General features: G+C 53.8%; 2 long non-coding RNA genes across 2 annotated transcripts, besides 3 other annotated features; one reads left to right on the top strand and one right to left on the bottom strand.

Annotated features, from left to right (window-relative positions):
- Window positions 1-518: 518 nt before the first annotated feature.
- On the bottom strand, window positions 519-16371 carry LINC01056 (long intergenic non-protein coding RNA 1056). Its single transcript, NR_033369.1, has 6 exons — window positions 16197-16371; window positions 5457-5526; window positions 4726-4870; window positions 2631-2760; window positions 1116-1477; window positions 519-870 (listed from the first exon to the last, which is right to left on the bottom strand). It is a non-coding gene; the product is annotated as a long intergenic non-protein coding RNA 1056 (long non-coding RNA).
- Window positions 16372-17353: 982 nt separating this feature from the next.
- On the top strand, window positions 17354-20165 carry LINC00029 (long intergenic non-protein coding RNA 29). Its single transcript, NR_028295.1, has 4 exons — window positions 17354-18334; window positions 18661-18817; window positions 18941-19099; window positions 19714-20165. It is a non-coding gene; the product is annotated as a long intergenic non-protein coding RNA 29 (long non-coding RNA).
- Window positions 18848-19571: an enhancer, noted in NCBI's record as "H3K27ac-H3K4me1 hESC enhancer chr20:61666163-61666886 (GRCh37/hg19 assembly coordinates)". NCBI's record gives its function as "activates a minimal SCP1, AML or CMV promoter by ChIP-STARR-seq in naive H9 embryonic stem cells {active_cell/tissue: H9 hESC(naive)}" and the evidence as "EXISTENCE:reporter gene assay evidence [ECO:0000049][PMID:30033119]".
- Window positions 19572-20296: an enhancer, noted in NCBI's record as "H3K27ac-H3K4me1 hESC enhancer chr20:61665438-61666162 (GRCh37/hg19 assembly coordinates)". NCBI's record gives its function as "activates a minimal SCP1, AML or CMV promoter by ChIP-STARR-seq in naive H9 embryonic stem cells {active_cell/tissue: H9 hESC(naive)}" and the evidence as "EXISTENCE:reporter gene assay evidence [ECO:0000049][PMID:30033119]".
- Window positions 21020-21744: an enhancer, noted in NCBI's record as "H3K4me1 hESC enhancer chr20:61663990-61664714 (GRCh37/hg19 assembly coordinates)". NCBI's record gives its function as "activates a minimal SCP1, AML or CMV promoter by ChIP-STARR-seq in naive H9 embryonic stem cells {active_cell/tissue: H9 hESC(naive)}" and the evidence as "EXISTENCE:reporter gene assay evidence [ECO:0000049][PMID:30033119]".

The following is a 22254-nucleotide window of genomic DNA, read 5'->3' as shown; positions in this document are numbered from 1 at the left end:
GGGGACACCAAGGAAGGCCTGGAGCCACCAGAAGCTGGAAGGGACCAGGAAGAAACCACACCCCCTCCCAGAGCCTCCACAGGAGCCAGCCCTGCCCAGAGCTTGCTTTCAGATGTCCAGCTCCAGAACGGAGATGGAATGAATCCTCGTTACTTAAAGCCACCCAGTTTGAAGTAACTCGCCGCCACGCTGGGACACCTCCCATTCCTGCTTCGGGATCTACTTCTGGGGAAGCCCAACCTTAACCCGTCATATTTTTCTTTAAGTTAAATAAACGAATTGATTTAAATACCTGTTTTAGCCTTTGACCTAAGCAAAAATATCTGTGAAATCATGGGCTTGATATACAAATTTAATTTTTCCAAATACACACTCAAAATAAGTACTCGTAAAATGTAAATGGTCATCGAAGCCTCCGCCACCTAATCTCCCTCTGGCTGCAGCCGCGCCATCCTCCGGAAGGAGGAATCACCATCACCGTAACCATCACAGACCAGCGCATATAACAATGCACTTTCAGATATCATTTCTAGATATTTATAGAACCTGTGGATTCCAGAGCAGTGTGCACACTGGTGTGTGTCTTTGTGTGTGCATTCACTGTGTCTGTGTATGCCTGGGCTTAAGGAAGAAGAGCGTGTCTGTGGAAGATGAAGAGGGCAGGAAGCCTCTTCACAAAGGCTCTCAGTTGCTTGGCGATGACTGAACCGAGAGCTGAGTGAAAGGGGTGGGCGTCAGCGGAGTACTTCTGTTGTGTGCACCTGAGCACGGGCTCACAGAGCTCCTGGAGGCCCCGCAACCCGACTGTTCAGTCGAACAGAGGACATACCGGGAGGTCCACCACTGTGTCCACCGCTGTATTTCCAGTGCCTGAAGGACCGACCGCCCCATGGGAGGGCTGAGAACTTGTCTGTGATGAGGTCACTAACAAACAAGTGAGCTGGACCCCTGGGGAGGGTCAAAGAAGGAGCTCTGACAAGGGGCAGGGGATGAGGTGAGCCTGGCGCTGAGAACAGGGACAAGCAGATGTAGGGCCCCTGACCCTCAGACCTGATAAGGAGGGCCCAGTCCCTTCCCACCTCCGTGTCCCGGATGACTCCATTGGCCACACCCACCCAGAGGCCAGAGACAGATTGCTGGGACATCCATGGAGGTCAGCCTCCTGGGGCCCAGAGCGGGGCTGGAGGGGTAGGGGAGGCTGGGCTCCCGGGGTCTTGCTACGGCCTCTGTTCCGGGCTCTGGGCTCATCTGTGCCGGGGCGTGAGTCACTGGTGCATGGGCTCGGCTCTCATGTCCTGGACTCTGTGAGCAGCAAAGCAAGGGGCTCTGCCAGGGCTTCCCCGCAGGGAGGCAGCAGACCCCTCACGCTGGTGGGCACTTTGGACCTTGGCTTTGCTTTCAAGTCCTGCCCTTTTTTAGCAAGTCGTTAGTATTTTAAGTGCCTTTCAAGAGGCTGAGCCTAATTAATTAGCCGTTTCTGAAAAAACAATTAGGGTTTCTGATAGGCATCATCCTGGAAAACAAGCAGAGTGCAAAGGCCAGGCTGAGGCCGGGAACCCCAGCAGCAAAGAGACACTCGCGTCCCCCAGCGTCAGGGAATTAGGACATTTGTGCCAGGCTGCCTGGCTAATTAGATTTCCAACAACTCCAGAGGGACCCGCTGAGGCAGCATCTAATTTAAAGCAGCCTCAGCCGGGCTTTGAGCTTGAGCATTTTGCAAAAAGACAAGACAGAGTTGGGCTGTCCCTGTGGGTGGGCTCCTGTCCCCTCTGAGCTCCAGGACTCCAGGCCCTGCCTGTCTGTCCACCTGCAGTTTCTCTCCCTGTCCCCTCCCTCCTTTCTGCCTCTTCCTCTGCCCCTGGCTCTCAGGCGTCCCCTTCCACCCAGAGGAAAGGGAAGTGACCTCCCAGCTCCTCACAGGGTCTACAGACGACTTGGCCTCCCAGTTCGGGTTGATAATAATTTGCTACTTAAAAATCTGCTCAGCTGAGGAAATTTGGTATGTCTTTTCCAAATAAAGCCTTCAATTGCCCCAAAATGAGTGACTGAAGAGGGGTCCTGCAGGGGAAGGAAGGGAGTGAGTGACTGAAGAGGGGTCCTGCAGGGGAAGGAAGGGAGAGCATGTTGCATTTCTGGGCATGCAGGGCGCTCTGTTGGCCTCAGTTCTCAGGAGGCCCCGCAGGGGGGTGGCGGTGACCTCCCATGACTGCAAGCTGAGTGTCCTGTAGGCACCTGCAGCATCTCCCCGACCTGTGGTGGGGGCGGTCTGGGGTGCCCTTGCCAGCACTGCCCTCTGTCTTTTCACCTGAGGAGGTCATAGGGCGCTCCCTTCGAGAAGAGGTGGCATGAGCTCCCTCCAGGCCGCCACAGTTGGGAGAGGGTCTAACGTTTGCTGTCTTCTGTGCTTATGGTGCCAACTCGCTCCAAAACTGCCGCCTTTGAGGATGCTTGGCTCAGCCCCCTTGGAAATGCAATTCCCCTTGTCCCCCAGCCATGGAGTGGGAGCAACTCCCCCTGCACCTTCCTCAAGGGCTTATGAGGCCACCTGCCCCTGCCCCTGGCCTGCCCCACAGGATCCCGATGGAGGGCCCGTCATTGTGGGCCCAAGAAGCCCACACCCTGCCTGGCACCCCTTGGTCTTGACTGTCCTCGGCCTGCCCGTTTGCTCCTCTGTGGCCTCTCTGTCCTGGGCACTGTGTTGCCCGCGTCCTCTGAGTCCTGCCACATGGACGGTCAGTGCTCCATACGCCACATCAAGTCCTGCAAGTTGTATAAAAAGTTAAATTTTGGGAATTGAGTTATGTTTTTGGATTCTCCAGAGGAATCAGCTGTTCGAAGGGATTCTATGGCTTCAGACTTTTGAGAGCAGCATTGTTAAGACTGGAAGAGACAAGCCTGCAGGACAAAGGAGGAACCAAGGAGGTGGGAGGCTGGCAGCAGCCAGCCCTGCCCAGAGCTTGCTTTCTACACTTGCCACGGGCCCTCAGAGGTGTGCAGGCACTTGGGCATCCGCAGACCTTCCCTGAGAGCCTGGCCTGGCAGCCCCTCCGGATCCTGCACCAGGGGGAGGACACTACAGAGCATGATTCTCTGCACCGGGGGGAGGACACTACAGAGCATGATTCTCTGCACTGGGGAGAGAACACTACAGAGCATGATTCTCTGCACTGGGGGGAGAACACTACAGAGCATGATTCTCTGCACTGGGGGGAGGACACTACAGAGCATGATTCTCTGCACCAGGGAGGACACTACAGAGCATGATTCTCTGCACCGGGGGGAGGACACTACAGAGCATGATTCTCTGCACTGGGGGCAGGACACTACAGAGCATGATTCTCTGCACCGGGGGGAGGACACTACAGAGCATGATTCTCTGCACCGGGGAGGACACTACAGAGCATGATTCTCTGCACCGGGGTGAGGACACTACAGAGCATGATTCTCTGCACCGGGGAGGACACTACAGAGCATGATTCTCTGCACCAGGGAGAACACTACAGAGCATGATTCTCTGCACCAGGGGCAGGACACTACAGAGCATGATCCTCTGCACCAGGGGAGGGACACTACAGAGCATAATACTCTGCACGAGGGGCAGGACACTACAGAGCATGATTCTCTGCACCAGGGGCGGGACACTACAGAGCATGATTCTCAGGGGCAGCCACACCCGCCACCCCTGTGGGGGTCCCAGCAGCCACACAGATGCCCCGGGGCCCAGAAGAATGTCTAGGGGAGCGTGTGGGGCCCGGGCGAGACTGCCCTCGATAGAGGAATGGCTGCGGGGGCGTGTGGGGCCCGGGGGAGACTGCCCTCGATAGAGGAATGGCTGGGGGACTGTATAGGGCCTGGGGGAGACTGCCCTCCATAGAGGAATGGCTGGGGGACTGTGTAGGACCTGGGGGAGACTGCCCTCGATAGAGGAATGTCTGGGGGAGTGTGTGGTTGGGGAGCAGGTGGGGCCCAGCAGAGACTCCCCTCGATGGTATCCCTCATGTACTCTCCCATTCACTCAGTGACACTGGACACAGCACCCTGTGTGGAGCACGGCATTGGAACCTAAAGGGGAGGCTCGAGGCCATGGAGGATTTGAGCCACTGGCCAGGGCACTCCAGGTGGGGGAAACACCATGGGCAGAGATGCAGAGGGTCAGCACCTGCCCTGCCCTGGGCCGGGCTTCCCTGAGCGGGTCCTCTGCAGCCCAGTCCCTTCCTGGGAGTGTCCCTGAGGGCCACACACCTACATCGGCCACTTCCCTTCCCGGGGCTGTCCCTGAGGGCCACACACCTACGTCGGTCGCTTCCCCTGCAAGCCCTGGGGGCGTGGAGCATTTCCACATTTCGTGCCCATGCCAGCCTCACCTCTGCTCCCAGGCTCCAGAAGGGCCGCCAGGCCAGGAGGGGCTGTGCAGAGAGCAACAGAGCCTCCAAATCCACTTCCCAGCAGCGCAGGCCAGGGCGGAGGGGAGGGGGTGGAGGTCTTGGCCTCCCCTTCCAAGGTCAGGCCTACCACACGGAAAGGCACGTATGTCTCAAAGCCTGGCCAGAGTCTGGTCCCACCAGTGACCTCTGGCCAAGCACAGTGACCATCCAGGAAAAGCTGAAGTTTTATGGCCGCAGTGGATGAGCCAGCCCTGGGTTCCCCTCTCCAGCAGGTGTCCCTGTGTCACCCTCGCCCCGGCGGCCACAGTCTCCCCTCCACAGTGAGGCTCCAGGTGCTTGCCTGATAGGAGCTGGGGTAGCCCAGGTGTGTCCCACGGCCCTGGTGCCTGTGTCCCCTTGGCCTCTCCTCTGAGCACAGCCTAGAGAGTGGTCACTGCCTGCAGGCTTCCTGTCCCTTCAAGTTGACCGCACTCGGCCTCTTGTACCTGCCACACATGGTCACTTTCTACCAGGCTTCTGGGTCCTGCCTGTGTCGCTGGGAGGCAGCAGCCCAGGGGCGACCCTTGCCCAGGGGAGTGGAGCCAGTGGTCAGCGTGCCTGGGGCAGACAGTCCTGGACGCTATTCTATGCGCTTCTCAGGGGTCCTGGAAGAAGGGTCCTGGCAGAAGGAGGAAGAGGACGAGGAGGAAGAGGAGGAGGAGGGGAGGAAGAGGAGGAGGAGGAGGAAGAGGAGGAGGAGGAGGAGAGGAAGAGGAGGAGGAGGAAGAGGAGGAGGAGGGGAGGAAGAGGAGGAGGAGGAGGAAGAGGAGGAGGAAGAGGAGGAGGAGGAAGAGGAGGGAGGAAGAGGAGGAGGAGGAGGAAGAGGAGGAGGAGGAGGAAGAGGAAGAGGAGGAGGAGGAAGAGGAGGAGGAGGAAGAGGAGGAGGAGGAGGAGTCTGCCCCCACATGACCTTGCTGACCTCCAAAACTGTGGCTTTTCCCACCCCCCTCTCCCCGGGCTCCTCCTGGATAAACCGTCTGCACAAGACTCTCCTCGCTCAGGCTGGTCTTCAGGTCCAAACAAGCTTCTCACCTGCCTGCACGCTTCTCTGGGGTGAACGCCTGGGTCAGTGGGGCAGGGCCATCCCTGTCACTCCAGAGACCTAAGTGCAAGAGAGAGGGCTCCTCCCTACCCGCCCCCTCCGCTGGCCTCATACCAGGGGCCTCCCTGGGGGCCTAGGCACCCACCAGCCATGTTGTTTATACACGCATGGAGGGCGAGAGGCTCGTGCTTACTCTGAGGCTGCCACTGTGGTGGGCAGTGTGAGATCCCTCCACCCGTGGAGTCAGGACACTTGCTGATGAGGCCTCCACCCAGCACCCAGGTCCTGAGCAATTGGACAGCTGTCCAAGCCCAAACAATGGGGTCCAGTTCTCCTCCCAGAGCCTGAGGCTGATCCTGTGTTCCTCTTTCTTCTCTAGAACTTCCCTCAGGGGCCCGCCAGGGAACTCACAGTTGTGGAAACCCCAGGAGTGAGGGTCAGATTGCCAACAGCCTGGAGCCAGGCCACATCAGAGGGCGTGCAGTGACGGTGAGCTCAGCAGGCCTGGGCTGCCCACACCCCACACATTCCAAATAAAAGTCCAGCAATTAACGAGCACCTGGGAAGCCATCCTGAGCCATTAGAACATTGTATTTTGGGGGCTTTGGGCCACGTTGGGTAGTCTAAGGAAATGATGGGATTTCAGGTTGGGGCCACACAGGGTCAGCTTGAGACTGAGTAACTAGGGTCAGCCACACAGGGACTCCAAGTCTACATGACTGAGCCCCAGTAAAAACCATGGCCACCAAAGCTCAGGCGAGCCTCCCGGGCTGGCTGCTGGGAGAAACAGTGCTGTGTATACAGCTCCACGGGAGAGCACTCCCAGCAGCTCATGCCTGCCGCCCATGACTGCTCCACAAGCGTCTCCTCTTCACTGAGTTTAACGCGTCTTTTTGTTTTAATAAACCATAATCGGGACTAGAACTGCGTTTCTCAGGTCTGTCTTTCTAGTGAGTCACTGAACCTGACTTGAACCCAAACAGAGGGGGACAAATGATGTTTCCAAGGTGAAGGCCGCACCCCTGAGGACAGGGAAGACTCGCTGTCACCATCACAGGCCCAGCATTCTCGCAGGCTCATGGGAAGCCACGGAGATGCCAAGACTCTGCAAGGCCAACATTCCTCTGGAGCCACCACGTGAATTCGCCTGTGTGGACGCTTGTGAGCTGCACCTTCATGCTATTATAATGGCGATTCAGTCATCAAACAATGAGACGCACGACACACCCACAGAACAGCCAAAGTGAAAGATGCGAGACCTGGACAAGAGTGTTCAGAAGATGAGAGACCCGGACAAGAGTGTTCAGGAAGCTGAGTCTAAAACAACCCAAAGCTGAGGACCACGCAAATGCCACCAACCAATGAGACGGCGGCACATCCACAAAACCGACCAATGAGCAGGTAAATAGATAGTGGCACATTCACAAAACTGACCAATGAGATGGTAGCACATCCACAAAACCGACCAATGAGCAGGTAAATAGACAGCAGCACATTCACAAAACTGACCAATGAGATGGTAGCACATCCACAAAACCAGCCAATGAGCAGGTAAAGAAACGGCGGCACATTCGCAAAACAGATACACAGCTTTGAAAGTGAACTGCAGTTGCACACAGCCATCTGACTACACCCTGAACATGTAAAGCTGAGAAAGAAAAACAGAAAAATGCTCAGGGCTGCATGCCAGTAGCGTCCTCTTGGGTGGTGGTTCTTGCCCCAGATCCACATATGACCCACTGGGAAAAACTGGACCCAAATCGTGCACCTGCCCTCTGACCCCAGGCCACTGGCATTGATCTGGGGACACAGCAGGTGCCGAGCAAATGTGTCACCATGAAGAGCTGTCTGAGAGACCACAGCCTGCATTTTCTTCCCAAGCCGAGGATCTGACACCACTCAGAAAGGGAGGGTAGATGTAGAATGTAAGAAAAGGCAGACATCCAGCTCCTCAGTTGCAGGAGAGTCTGTCCTCGGAGAGGTGAGGGAGGACTGTGCAGTACGGCGCTCACGGCGGGTTGCTGGATGGCAGGTGCTTCCTCCTCCTAAAGGGAGATGCTGTGCATGCCCTTCAGCCCACCCTAGACACCCCCCTCCATGCCAGGTTCTGAGGACCCTAGACACCCCCCCAGGTTCTGAGGATGCTTCACGAACACACCAGGCACCTGTGCTCTTCTGCCTGGGGGTGAGCTCCCCAGGGCGTCAACGCACCGAGAGATGGGATGGTGGATAAATGCCGGTAGAGCCGAGCCCCCTTTGTCCCAGCCTGGGCACTGTTTTCCTCCATCCCTCTCCTCCTGCAATCACCTGTCAGATAAACCCAACCCCCATTAGGTCAGAGTTGGCACTGGGGGAACCTAGACCAAACCGACCCCCAAGAGGAAAATGAAAGTGCCAAGAACTATAAAGCCGCCCACAGATTCCCAAAACCTCTCCCAGCAGGGCCCCTTCACACACTACTCCCTCTCAGACTCCACCTTTTCCCTGTTGTTTAATCAGCAGATAGCTTCTAGAAAATTCTACCAAGCTGTCTTAGTGTGTTTGTGCTGCTGTAACAGAACACCTGTGATTGGGTCATTTATAAAGCATTGAAATGTATTTCACGCAGTTCTGGAAGCCAGGAAGTGCAAGACCAAGGCACTGCAGCCTCGAGTCTGGGGACAGCGGCTCCTGGCTTCTGCGATGGTGCCTTGCTGCCGTGTCCTCTGGAGGGGAGCGGTGCTGTGTCCTCACATGGCAGAAGGGAGAGAAGGAACGGACTCATCCCTCCCGCCCTTGTATCTACTGGCACTAATCTATTGGTGAGGGCAGAGCCTTCCCGGCCTACTGACCTCCCGAAGGCTCCGTACTATGGCACTGGGGATGACGTTTCAGTGTGAATTTTGGAGGGACACAAACATTCACACCATAGCACAAGCTCATGGGAAGTACTTCCTCGAACTGAGGGCGATGTGGCTAAAATTGAGAAAAAGCAGCCCAGTTGGTGGATCCCAAAACCTGGGCAGCCAGGCTTGAATTGGTTTTATGATTTTTCTCCAAATTGACCACACTGCCTCATCCTGAAACCATCTCGGGGCTAGGGAGCAGGTGAGCCAGGTGGGCTTTGCCTGGTGGTATGGGGCCTGCTCTGTGCTCCGGGCTCCACGCAAAATGAACCCCTCACTTCAAAGAACAGCAGGAGGTTTGTGGGCAGTTTCTCAGCCTCGGGGACTGGGTTCCCAACACCAAAACCTGCCCCTTCTGCCCACTGGCTGTAGCAAGCCACCTCACGTTCAGTGTCTGCTGGGCCTGGGGCAGCTCACGTGTGTGTGAGTTCCCGTCTGTCCCCACACGCTCCAGTCTGTTTCTGAAGCACACGGTTCTCATTTGCACACATGCACGGCCAGAATGCTCTTGTGTGCCCAGATGGCTGTGTCTGTGAGGCCCACCACGAAGACGAGCGAGTCCCCCCATGCTGCCAGGCTCGACCTCAACAGGGGGCCTTTCATGCCCGAATCCCCACCAGGGCCACTGTCCCCCAAAGCCAGTCTCAAAACCAGATGGCAGGGATTTCTGAAGGGAAGGACCCGGGGTCTCCAGGCTCCGATAGGACAGAGGGTTCCCGCCATGCACGCCACCTCTGTGGAAGCTGCTGAAGGGAAAGACCTGGGGTCTCCAGGCTCCGATAGGACAGAGGGTTCCCGCCATGCAGGCCACCTCTGTGGAAGCTGCTGAAGGGAAAGACCCAGGGTCTCCAGGCTCCGATAGGACAGACGGTTCCCGCCATGCACGCCACCTCTGTGGAAGCTGAGGTGGGAGAGGGGAGGAGGAAAAGGGGAAGAGAGAAAGCTGCTCTCTCAGCAATGGATGCTGATCAAACAGGGTTTGGTAACTTTTCAAACAACATTGGAATCTGTTCCAGAGTTCTGGGAGGAACTCGTGGTGTAGAGAAATCCTGTTCTCAATTCCACTCCTGGTTAGCAGGGTGTCCCGGCCTGCACAGCCTGCACGGCTTCGGAACGGCATTTCTGCTGGGCTGCGTGCTCAAAACCCAACTGTGGCCAAGGTCAGAGCTTCTGGGCCAAGGAGATGCCTGCCCGCAGCCTGAGTGAGAGCCCCAGCCCTGGGGGTGAGGCCGGCACCCACTCCCTGAGGCGGCACAGTGGCCTGATCCTCACCGGGGCCTGGGAGCCCTGTGCACCGGGAGCTGGGCGCCGCGCTGAGGCCAGGAGCCTGGGCCTGACAAGCGCCCCGACCACCTCAAGTGTGGTGCCCCCAGACCCCATGCCTTGCAATCAGCCAAGTTAGTAAGTTACCCTAAACAAGTTAATTACATTATTGCTTTATGATGCTGCAATCACAAGATTTTTGTTTTGATGTTAATCCGGTGAAACTTTAAATTAGGGAAATTAAATAATTAGCTAAACATATGACAAGCTAGCAAACAACTTCCCTCTTGCCCTGACATTCCCGGTCCGCAGTGCCCCCGTTCTGCTGACATTCCCGGTCCGCAGTGCCTGCGTTCCCGACATTCCCGGTCGGCAGTGCCCGCGATCCCCTGACATTCCCGGTCAGCCGTGCCTGCGTTCCCCTGACATTCCCGGTCCGCCGTGCCCGTGTTCCCCTGGCATTCCCAGTCCACAGTGCCCATGATCCCCTGACATTCCCGGTCCACAGTGCCCGTGTTCCCCTGGCATTCCCGGTCGGCCGTGCCCACGTTCCCCTGACATTCCCGGTCGGCAGTGCCCGTGTTCCCCTGGCATTCCCGGTCCGCAGTGCCCGCGTTCCCCTGGCATTCCCGGTCAGCCGTGCCCGCGTTCCCCTGACATTCCCGGTCCACAGTGCCCACGTTCCCCTGACATTCCCGGTCGGCCGTGCCCGCGTTCCCCTGACATTCCCGGTCAGCCGTGCCCACGTTCCCCTGACATTCCCGGTCCGCAGTGCCCACGTTCCCCTGACATTCCCGGTCTGCAGTGCCCCCGTTCCCCTGACATTCCCGGTCGGCAGTGCCCGTGTTCCCCTGACATTCCCGGTCGGCGGTGCCCACGATCCCCTGGCATTCCCGGTCCACGGTGCCCGCGTTCCCCTGACATTCCCGGTCCGCAGTGCCCATGTGGGAAACGCTGCAGAGATCGAGTGTGTGCACCACGACCTGGCCTGGTCCAGAGACTGCGCCTGTCCCTGAGTTAACATCGTTGTCCCCAGGATCGCCGGCAGCCTGGGTTCTTCTTTTGGGATCAGGGCCTTGGTCGTCTCTATGTGTTTGGGATGGAAAGAAACAGAGCCCGACTCGAACTATACTGCGAAGCCCCCTTCTTCCTTCAGGAAGCCTTGCTGCTGTGGAGCCACGACGCTGCTGGTGTTGGAAACGGCCCCAAAACAGCCCCGACCATGATGCGCATCGCAGAGCTGCTCAGGCACCAGCCAGGCGTGCAGCAGAAGCAGAGAGCACCCCAGCTGCCCGAGCCCTTCAGGGTCCCTGGCTGCAGTTCACGACAGAGGCCCACGGATTCCCCGCATGGGGTCCCTGTGGCCTTGCAGGTGCCGTGGCCACCGGTGGGGACCCAGCCAAGCCGCACTCAGCCCCCACGCTGCACCTCTCCATTGCCCTCCGCCCAGGCCTCAGCCCAATGCTGAGCTTTGGAATGAAGGGGTCCTATGAATGATATGGTGTCCCAACCCCTCCATTTTCTTTTTTTCACAGCCGAATCTCTGGTCATTGCTTTTCTTTCCTGGCAGCAGAATATCTGCTCATGAACGTTTAATAAAGTAAAATCCCCCAGGAAAATCCACAAAGGGTGAGGGGAGTGGGAGACCGAGGAAAGCCCGGGAGAACAGGGGAGCTCCTCCCCAGGAGCCCAGGCCCTTTAATCCATCCCCAGACGAAGCCCCTAAATGCCCCATGAACATCGAGAGGAAGGGGAGGGTCAGGGCCACAGCAGGTGGAGATGCCTGCACCCATTGGAGTCCATGGGAGAAAACAGCACATACCCAGGGGTTCGATATGGGATGCCGGTTGAAGAGGTGTGAGAAGGTCCCCATGGGGATGAGGAGCAACTCGGAAAGTCTCAACTACAGGAAGCCAACGCCACCCTCAGGCTAGAGGGACACAGGGACAAACTGGGTGTGCAGTCACAATTCAGGCGGGAACGGCTCTGTCCTGGATCAGAGGTGACATTTTACTGGAATTAAGTCAGTATTCACCTGATGTAGATTGTAATACATTAAGATATATACTGGTTTCCTGGAGAATCACTAAGAACACAACTCAAAACATGGTTAACAATTAACACAATCGGCAGCAGAATTAGCTAACAGGGTAACTGAGATATATTTGCTTAACACAAAAGAAGGCAGTAAAGGAGGAACAGAAACAAAAAAGACACGAGACATGTAGAAAGCAAGGAACAAAACGTCAGAGACAAAAATGCCACTAAACCAACAACAACACTGTCGGGTGGCAGAAATTATTGGACTGGATAAACTACTCCAGGCCCAACTGCATGCCATCTATAAGAGACATGCTTTAAATTTCAAGATGCAAATACACTGAAAGCAAAAGGACAGAAAAATACACATGATGCAAATAACAACTGCAACAGAGGTGGAACACAGATATTCCATCTGACAAAATAGACTTCAAGGAAAAAAATACTAGAGACAGAGGACATTTTATAAGGATAAAAGGGTCAATATTGACAGAAAGACATAAATGTATATACATGCCTAACAAGAGAACTCCAAAATATATGAAGTAAAATGAGACAGAACTGAAAAGAGAAATATATTATTCAATAATTATCATGAGAGATTGCGATGCCCATTCTCCATAACGAATAAAGCATCTACACAGAGTACCAGTAAGGACACAGAAGACTTTAACAGCACTGTCAACCAACTTACCCAAACTCTTATTTATAGATCGCTCCCCATGATGACAGCACTCAGCAGCAGTGCCACACTTTTCAGGAGAGCCCGTAGGCTAGACCCAGAGCAAGTCTCACTCATTTAAAAGTATTTAAATCGTACAAGGTATGTTCTCTAATACAATGGAATTAAATTAGAAACCAAGAACAGAAATAGCCAGGCACGGTGGCCCGTGCCTGTAATCCTAGTGCTGTGGGAGGCCAAGGTGGGTGGATCACCTGAGGTCAGGAGTTCGAGACCGGCCTGGCCAACATGGTGAAACCCCATCTCTACTAAAAATACAAAAATTAGCTGGGCATTATGGCATGTGCCTGTAATCCCAGCTGCACAGGAGGCTAAGGCAGGAGAATCACTTGAACCTGAGAGGCAGAGGTTACAGTGAGCTGAGATCACACCACTGCATTTCATTCAGCCTGGGCAACAGAGCCAGACTCCATTTCAAAAAATAAAAATAAAAATAAACTGGAGAAATAAGTTGATATTTGAGAGCTAAACAACACATTTCTAAATAACCCATGAGTCAAAAAAGAAATCACAAAAAAGAAAATTAGAAAATAATTTGAACTTATGAAAACAAAACCACAACATACCAAAACGCATGAGATCTAGCTAAAGCAGGAAATTCATAACTTTAAATACCCATATTTCAAAGGCAAAAAGGTCAATAATATAATCATATTATATCAATAATATAATCAATAATATAATCTTCCACCAAAAGAAACAAGAAAAAGAAGAACAAATCCAACCCCAACCAAGCAGAAGGAAGATAATATAAAAGACCAGAGTGAACAGCAGTGCAGCAGAAAACAGAAAGCCGATACAGAAAACCAGCAGCATCAAACTTGATTTTTTGAAAAAAATCAACAAAGTGGATAAATGTTTAGCAAGAATGCCCATGAAAAAAAGAGAGAAGACACAAATTACTAAAATCAGGAATAAAAGAGAGAACACTGCTACTGATCCTATTGAAATTAAAAGGATTATAAAGGAGCATTATGAACCATTTTATGCCAACCGTTTGACAACTTAGATGAAATGGACAAATTCCTAGAATGACACAAATTACCAAAATGAGTTCAGGAAGAAAGAGAAAACCTGAAGACACCCACAACAAGTAAAGAAATTAATGCCCAAATAGCACTGGCTTCACTAGTAAACTCCATCACATATTTACAGAAGAAATAACAGCAATCTCACACAAAATCCTCAGAAGGTAGAGGATGAGGAAACACTTTCTAATTCATTCTATGAAACCAGAATTACTCTGGTATCAAAGCCAGGCAAAGACACGAACAGACTATAAGATATTATCCCTCATGAACGTAAACCAAAATATCCTTAGTAAAATTTAGTAAATCAAGTCATCTATGAAAAACCCACAACTGACATTACAGTCAATGGTACGAGACTGAAAGCTTCTCCCCAAGATCAGGAAAAAGACAAGGATGCCTGCTTTTGCCACTTCTATTCAACACAATACTGGGAGTTTTAGCCAGAGCAATTAGGCAAGAAAAAGGAACAAAAGGTATCCAAGTTGGAAAGGAAGAACTAAAATGGCACGTATTTGCAGATGATATGCACCATGTAGAAAAGCCCAGAGAACCATTAAAAAAAAAAAAAACTGTTAAACCTAATAAATGAACTCAGCAAAGATTCAGGGTACAAAATCATTACTTAGAAGTCAGCTGGACACTAGCAATGAGCAATCCGAAAAGAAAAGAACCCCACTTACGATAGCATCGAAACGAATCAGATGCTTAGGAATAAATTCAACCCAGGAGGAAAAAGACTTGTATGCTGAAAACTACAAGACGTTGATGAAAGAAATTAAGAAGACACAAATAAATGGAAAGTCACCCGTGTTCACAGACTGGAGGACTTACTGTTGTTAAGATGAGAGTACTACTCAAAACAATCCACAGATTCAACGTCATCCTTATCAAAATCCCAACAGCAATTTTTGCAAAAATTGAAAACCTTTATCCTAAAATTCATATAGAACTTCCGGAACCCTAAATAGCCCAAACGATCTTGAAAACGAAGAACAAACTTGGAGAACTCACGTTTTCTGATTTCAAAACTTACTCATAAAGCTACAGTCATCAAGATAATGTGCTGCTGGTAAAAGGATGGATGTAGAGGCCAATGGAGTAGAACAGAGAACCCCCATATGAACCCCCATATACATGGTCCATTGACTTTCAATAAGGGACCAACACCAGTGAGGAAAGGGCAGCCTCCTCAACAAACGATGCTGGGAAAAAGGTATTTACACATGCAAAACAATGAAGTTGGACATTTATCTTACAACATATACAAAAATTAACATGAAATGGATCAAAGACCTAAATGTAAGAGCTAAAACTATAAAACGCTTAGAAGAAAACATAGGGGCAAATTATCACGACCTTCAACATGGCAATGGTAAATGGCACAGAAAGCATAGGCAACAAAAGAAAAAAGACAGGGCCAGGCATGGTGGCTCACGCCTGTAATCCCAGCACTTTGGGAGGCTGAGGCAGGAGGATCACCTGAGGTCAGGAGTTCAAGACCAGCCTGGCCAACATGGCAAAACCCTGTCTCCGCTAAAAATAAAAAAATTAGCCAGGCATGATAGTGGGTACCTGTAATCCCAGCTACTCTAGAGGCTGAGGCAGGAGAATCGCTTGAACCTAGGAGGCAAAGGTTGTAGTGAGCCAGGATCGCACCACTGCACTCCAGCCTGGGGGACAGATTGAGACTCTGTCTCAAAAAAAAAAAAATTTTTTTAACAGAAAACAGATAAATTGGATTCATCAAAATTAAAGTTGTTCTGCATTAAAAGACACTATCAAGAAAGTGAAACGTCAGCCGGGCGCAGTGGCTCATGCCTGTCATCCCAGCACTTTGGGAGGCCGAGGCGGGCGGATCACGAGGTCAGGAGATCGAGACCATCCTGGCTAACACAGTGAAACCCCGTCTCTACTAAAAATACAAAAAATTAGCCGGGCGTGGTGGCAGGCGCCTGTGGTCCCAGCTACTCGGGAGGCTGAGGCAGAAGAATGGCGCGAACCCGGGAGGCGGAGCTTGCGGTGAGCCGAGATCCCGCCACTGCACTCCAGCTTGGGTGACAGAGCGAGACTCCTTCTCAAAAACGAAAAAAAAAAAAAAAAAAGAAAGTGAAACGTCAACCACAGAGTGGGAGAAAATATTTGCAAATCATATATCTGATAAGGGTTTTAATACCCAGGATTTATAAAGAACTGCTACACTTCAACAACAAAAAAATTCCATTTAAAAATAGGCAAAGGACTCGAATAGATGTTTCTCCAAATAAGATATAAAATGGCCAATAAGCACATGAAAAGATGCTCAACAGCACTCACTGGTCACTAGGGAAATGTGAATCAAAACCACAGAGACACCACCTCACATGCGATAGGACGGCTGCTCTCCAAAAAACAAAAAATTAGTTGGGTGTGGTGGCATGCGCTTGTAATCCCAGCTACTCGAGAGGCTAAGGCAGGAGAATCGCTTGAACCCGGGAGGTGGAGGTTGCAGTGAGCTGAGATTGGACCACTGCACTCCAGCCTGGGCAACAGAGTGAGACCCTGTCTCAAAAAAATAAATAAATAAAAATAAAATAACAAGCCTCAGAGAGGATGTGGAGAAGTTGGAATTGATGGCGGGAATGTAAAATGGAGCAGCCACCGTGGGAGACGATTTGGCAGCTCCTCAAATAGTGGAACACCGAACTGCCTTACGATCCAGCAATTCCACTCCCAAGGGTAGGTCCGGAAGAATGAAGACAAACACCCAAACAGACACTTAGGCTCCCATACCAGCGTTACTCACAATGGCTGAAAGGTGGAAACAGCACAGTTGCCCCCAGCAGATGAATGGAGGACAAAATGCGGTCCATCCACCCATGGGAATAGGATTCAGCCAGAAAAATGAAGGAAGTCTGACACTCGCTACCAGGTAAATAACTTTGGAAGCGCTGTGCTGAGCGACCTCGGAAGCACTATGCTGAGTGACCTCGGAAGCCCCGTGCTGAGCGACCTCGGAAGTGCCGTGCTGAGCGACCCCGGAAGCCCCGTGCTGAGCGACCCCGGAAGCCCCGTGCTGAGCGACCCCGGAAGCCCCGTGCTGAGCGACCTCGGAAGCCCCCTGCTGAGCGACCTCGGAAGCATTGTGCTGAGTGACATAAGCCAGAAACAAAAGGACAAATGTTGTATGATTCTACTTGCATCAGATATCTAGAAGAGCCTAATTCACAGACAGAAAGTACATTCTAGGTTAAGAGAGGCTGGGGGTGGAGAGGAATGGGTAGTTGTTATTCATGGAGACAGGGTTTCTGTTTGGAGTTGGGGATGTAGCTGGTGGTGATGGTGACACAACATCGTGAATGTAATTAATGCTGCTGAGCGGGACACTTACTTAATTTTTTTAACTTAGCAAACCAAATTCGACTATTTATTTATTTATTTTGAAACAGGGTCTCACTCTGTCACCCAGGCAATGGCACGATCTCGGCTCACTGCAGCCTCGACCTCCCGGGCTCAAGCCATCCTCCCACCTTGGCCTCCCAAAGGGCTGGGATTACAGGCATGAGCCACCGTGCCTGGCCAAATCCAACAATTTATTTTAAAAAGATAATACTGTACACCATGATCAAGTGGGATATTTCCCAGGACTGAAAGATTGGTTTAACAGCCAGAACTCAATTAATGTAATAAATCATATTAATAAAATAAAGGACAAAAGCCACATGATCATCCCAACTGATATAGAAAATCCATTTGACAAAATCTGACACCCATTTATAATTAAAAAAAAACTTTCAACAAACCAGAAATGAGAGTGAACCTCCTCAACCTAGCAATGGAATCTATGGAAACCTACAGCACGCTTCCTGGGGAAAGCCTGACCGTCTCGAATCTATGGAAACCTACAGCACGCTTCCTGGGGAAAGCCTGACCGTCTCCCCACGGAAGGGAGCAAGTCAAGGGGACCCTCCCCTCCCGCTCCTCCCACACTGCACAGCGGGTTCCAGCCAGGGCAGTGAGGCAAGAACATGGAACTCAAATCACCGAGATTAGCAAAAAAGATGTAGAAGTACGCCTCACGCCGTAGGTGGAATCGCCTAAGGAATCTACAAAGATAAAATAAAATGAAGTAAAACCTGATAAGATGATCGAAGGAGTTTAACAAGATCATGGGGCGTAGGATATTTCTGCACTGACAGTGAACACCCCAAGATGAAATGCAGAAAGCGTCCTGGTCAAATAGCATCAGAAAGAATAAGCTACTTAGGAATAATTTCGCAAAGGAAGTGTGAGACTTGTACGCTGCAAACTGCGAAACATGGCTGGTAAAAAGACCCAAAGAAAACCTGAACAGATGGAGAGACTTCCCACATCGAGGCTGAAAGGCTGAACCCTGCGCAGACGGCGGGGCTCCCGCGGTGCTCCGTGTGGCCTTCATCCCCCTCTGGCCGTGTTCCCTCCCCGGCTCAGAGCCACTCCTCCTAGTTACCACCCTCGGCCCTCCCTCTGCAAGCCCAGGATGCCCGGGCCACAGGCCGGTGAGCTGGGGATCCAGCCTCTCCTGGCGTTTTACCCACGTAGGTGACAACTGACGGCACTGGAGCAGAGAGGCTGACTGCCCGAGGAGACCAGGGAGGCTTGGACCCCAGGCTGGAGGGGGCCGGGGACCCAGACCCACTCACTTGATTTGGAAGGACACAGGGCTGTCAAACCTATGCAGGGTCATCACACCCGGCCCTTCGTTTGTCCCTTTTCGGCCAAGCTCAGGACCCTGTAACCCAGGAAGACAAGCTCGTGGTTCTGAGATGACCCAGGGAATTGGCCAATCCCACCCGAAACCCTTGTTCCTTCCTCTGGTCATTGACGTTCCTCCCAGACGGCTTCGAGAGCCCCGCAGATCCTTCCACTACTCCCCAGCCTAGAAGATCCAGGTGTGCGGGGGACCCTGGCAGGGGACATACCTGCTCGGCGCTGGCCTGTCCTTTACTCAGAGAGGCAGCCGAGGGGGGTTGGGGTTAAGGGGGCCATAGAGGGAGAAGGGTGAGCCGCAAAGAGGGGGACCTCGAAGAAAGCAGCACCTTCCGCTCCCGCCGAGTCAGCTGCCACCTTCTCTGTGTCCCTGTGTCCTCCTGCTCTGCCCTGCCCTCAGCCAGCTGCCATCTTCTCTGTGTCCCCGTGTCCTCCTGCTCTGCCCTGCCCTCGCCAGCTGATACCTTCTCTGTGTCCCTGTGTCCTCCCGCTCTGCCCTGCCCTCCAGGGACAGAAGCCCTCGAGGTTCTGGCTGGGCCCACGTGCTGAGATGCCTCTGAGAAAGCTGTCTTTCCATGGTGGATCCCGCTGGATGCCCGTGAACACGGGGCCAGCTTGCAGAGAGCTGGAAGGAGGCCTCCTGGCGGCACCCAGGCCTGACACAGGTGACGGAGCAGGGGAATGGCTCAAGGTGAGGAGGGTGGCCTGAGGGCAGCTCCGGCCGGGTTTCAGAGCCCCGTTCAGTCCCCTGCAGTGCCATCTGGATTGGATCGTCCGTTTGTCCACAGGATGGCACAGCAGATGCAACCGTGGGCCTGGGGCCTGGGGTTCCTGGTTGGTGGCCAGGAGAGGCGGCCAGAAGACTCCATGGCTCCCAGGGCCCAGTCGCAGCTGAGAGGCTCCCCGTCACGATGGCCAATAGCCCTTTCTCCAAGGACAAGGATGGGGTGATGGCACAACATGTGTGGGTCGAGCACACCTACCCATGTGCACACATGGGTGTGCATGTCCTGCTGGTGGCTGACCCGTGACCCTGCATGCGTGTCCTGCGGGTGGCTGACCCGTGACCCTGCATGCGTGTCCTGCTGGTGGCTGACCCGTGACCCTGCATGCGTGTCCTGCTGGTGGCTGACCCGTGACCCTGCATGCGTGTCCTGCGGGTGGCTGACCCCTGACCCTGCATGCGTGTCCTGCGGGTGGCTGACCCGTGACCCTGCATGCGTGTCCTGCGGGTGGCTGACCCGTGACCCTGCATGCGTGTCCTGCGGGTGGCTGACCCGTGACCCTGCATGCGTGTCCTGTGGGTGGCTGACCCGTGACCCTGCATGCGTGTCCTGCTGGTGGCTGACCCGTGACCTTGCATGCGTGTCCTGCGGGTGGGTGACCTGTGACCCTACAAGCATGTCCTGCTCACGGGCACACCGTCTGCCTGTGCACAGGCCTCTGCCTGCCCACCTGGCGGAGTCCTGCCTGGATGCTTTAGCGTCTCCAGCCTCTGTGCGCTTTGCTTCTTTGCTCGGATTTCATTTCTGATTGCGGAATTTTACTCTCAAACCAAAAGATGCTACATGCCGCTCCTGACGCCGTGGCACGGAATCACGCTGCGCGTCCCTTGTTTCCGGATTTCTCTTCTGTGGCTTATTGATGGCACTCAAGCACCGCACAGCAATGACGTCTGTCCTGGCAGGGCACACGCACTCTGCGTCTGAATGAGTATTGAGCTAATTCCAAAGCCCAGCAGAGACGTGGGCGCGCGTTTATCTGGAGGAGACCAGGCGCGCCATGGTTGGCTCTGGCCGCGGGACCCTGGGCTGAGCACCGACCCAGGCCACCCCAAGTCACCAAAAGAGGGTAGGGAGGGGTGGACAAAAGTATTTATTTTGCCTATTTTCTTGCCAGTGTCCAGATTCAAATGTACTGTTTTTAAACTACATTAGCACTTTCTGCCCTGTGGCCTGCAATGATTGTGCTGTGATTATTCAACACCATAAATAATAATGCAGCATTTCACCATCGGGTGTCACAATGAGTGGCTGCTCCTTATAGCCTGAGACGCTGGGCGCCCCGGGGTCTCCTCTCAGCGCCATCCCATCTCCTGTGTGAGCCAGGCTGTCCCAGAGCCTGCAGCCTCCCAGGCCACCCCTGCACTTCCCTACGGCCAAACTCTGTGAGTTTGAGAGCCCCCCACAGGGTGACTACGCAAGAGGAAAGAAGCCCCCAGCAAGCAGGGCCTCCTGGGCCTGTTCCTCCATCATCCATCACCCGTGACCCAAGACCTCCACCTCCCTTCCTGTTCTCAGGTCACTGCCCACTCCCTCCCACCCCACCCCCACCCCCAGCCCCGTGACCCCAGGCTTGGGCCTCCTTTGTTTCAAGAGAGTCCAACACCTCCCCGACCCCCAGCGGCTGATTCTTCTCTGGGGCTCTCATCAGACATTCCCATCTTGGAGAACAGGGCAGGGGGTGTGAACCTGTGAGCAGAGCTCCTCGCTGGGAGGGACCAGCTCTGCACACCCCCTGGAGACACCAGAGAACATTCTAGAGTCGATGGCAGCCAAAATGTGCCTGCCCCAGGGGCTTGGCAGAGTGATGAGGAGGCCACGTGAAACACAGCTAGTTCACCCATCACTGACGATTGTTCCTCCACAACCAACTGTCACCACCAAAGTGGGGGAGGTGCGTGGGGGAGGGGCCCACAGCGCTGGGTGGGGGTGCTGGAAATGGAGCCCCAGACCCGAGGAGGCCCGGGTGGCTGCACGGTGCAAATCTGCACAGTGCAAAATGCAAATGCAGGAGGAAAAGTGCCCTCAGAGCCACAAACAAAGCCTTCTCCTTCCTTCCGCATTCTCTCTATTGACTTGCCGGCTGTCTTTCATTTGCTATTGAATGTCATTCTAAGTAATGCAAATATAAGTCAAGGCACACACGCACACGTTAGCTGCGGGGCAAAGCCACCGAAACCTCTGCACGCGTGCTCTGCGGCTCCTGCACGATGTGCATCTTGTTCCTGCAGCACGGTGGAAACGCCACGCAGCCTCAGCGTCCTGCTGGCCATTCATACCCTGCCGGGACGCCCTCTCAGTTGCTGTTGGGTACGAAGGACTGAAAGGAAAAGCCGCGGTCTCCTGTCTTTCTCTCTCCTTCCACATCGTCATCTGCAGTGCAGGTGGCCAGCTCACATGGGAGTCCCAGGGAGACGGGGGGGATGTGTCCTTGGTTGTGTGGGCATCTGAGAGCAACACCACCTCCTTTCTGCACTTGGGGCCAGCTCTGAGTCAAGGGAAAGCGTGGCCTCTCGAACCACTGGCACCTACTGGCTCCGCAGTGGACTCGCACCCTGACCATCTCCAGCTTCCTTCAGTCATGCTCACGCCACCATCCTTAGATTGCACTTACAAAGCGAGCATTCAAAGATAAAATTACTAAGAATTTCAAGATTGCTGCAGCAGGGCATCAAACTGCATGCAGGTACTTCTGAGCAGACCACGTGGCCTCCAGGTCTCTCCGCTGAAGACGGCCTTGCCCCTGCCAGGCAGATGGACAGTCCTCCTGTACCAGGGAGGCTGAGGAGCACAAGGCTGGCTGCACCCAAGCCCCCAAGTCCAGCAGCGCAGGGACAGTGTGACCACCCGGACAGTGAGGAGCCCGGGACACAGGTGTGCACAGATCTGAGACCCCACCAGTAGCAGGTGCTTTCTGTGGGTCAGGCGCTGCCTCCCTGATCACACACAAAACTGAATGTCCCGGGACCCCAAGTCAGGGGTTGAGCTCCCCACACTCGGAAGAGGGCGGTGGGAAGGAGGCCCATCAGGACCCGCTGAGTGCTGGGAAGACGCTACGTTCTGTGGACACTCGGCAGGCAGCTCCTGAAGGCGGCTCCTTTTATTTATCCCACGGCAGCTGTCCTGGGGCTGCTACTGGCTCCTGATGGATGAGGGAAGGGTGGCTCCGAGGGGAACAGAGTTGGGATCAGAGGCCAGATCTGAGGCCCCGAGGTCCCCACTTCTGACCATACACCACCCAACAAGCTGGATCCTTCTCCACACTCCAGAGCTGAGGCTCTGCACTCCCCACCAGGAGACCATCCTCTCACCCTCCTCTG

This window comes from Homo sapiens, chromosome 20, assembly GCF_000001405.40.
Source record: "Homo sapiens chromosome 20, GRCh38.p14 Primary Assembly".
In the NCBI taxonomy this organism is placed as follows: Eukaryota; Metazoa; Chordata; class Mammalia; order Primates; family Hominidae; genus Homo; species Homo sapiens.
This window is presented reverse-complemented; position numbering and strand designations above follow the sequence as displayed.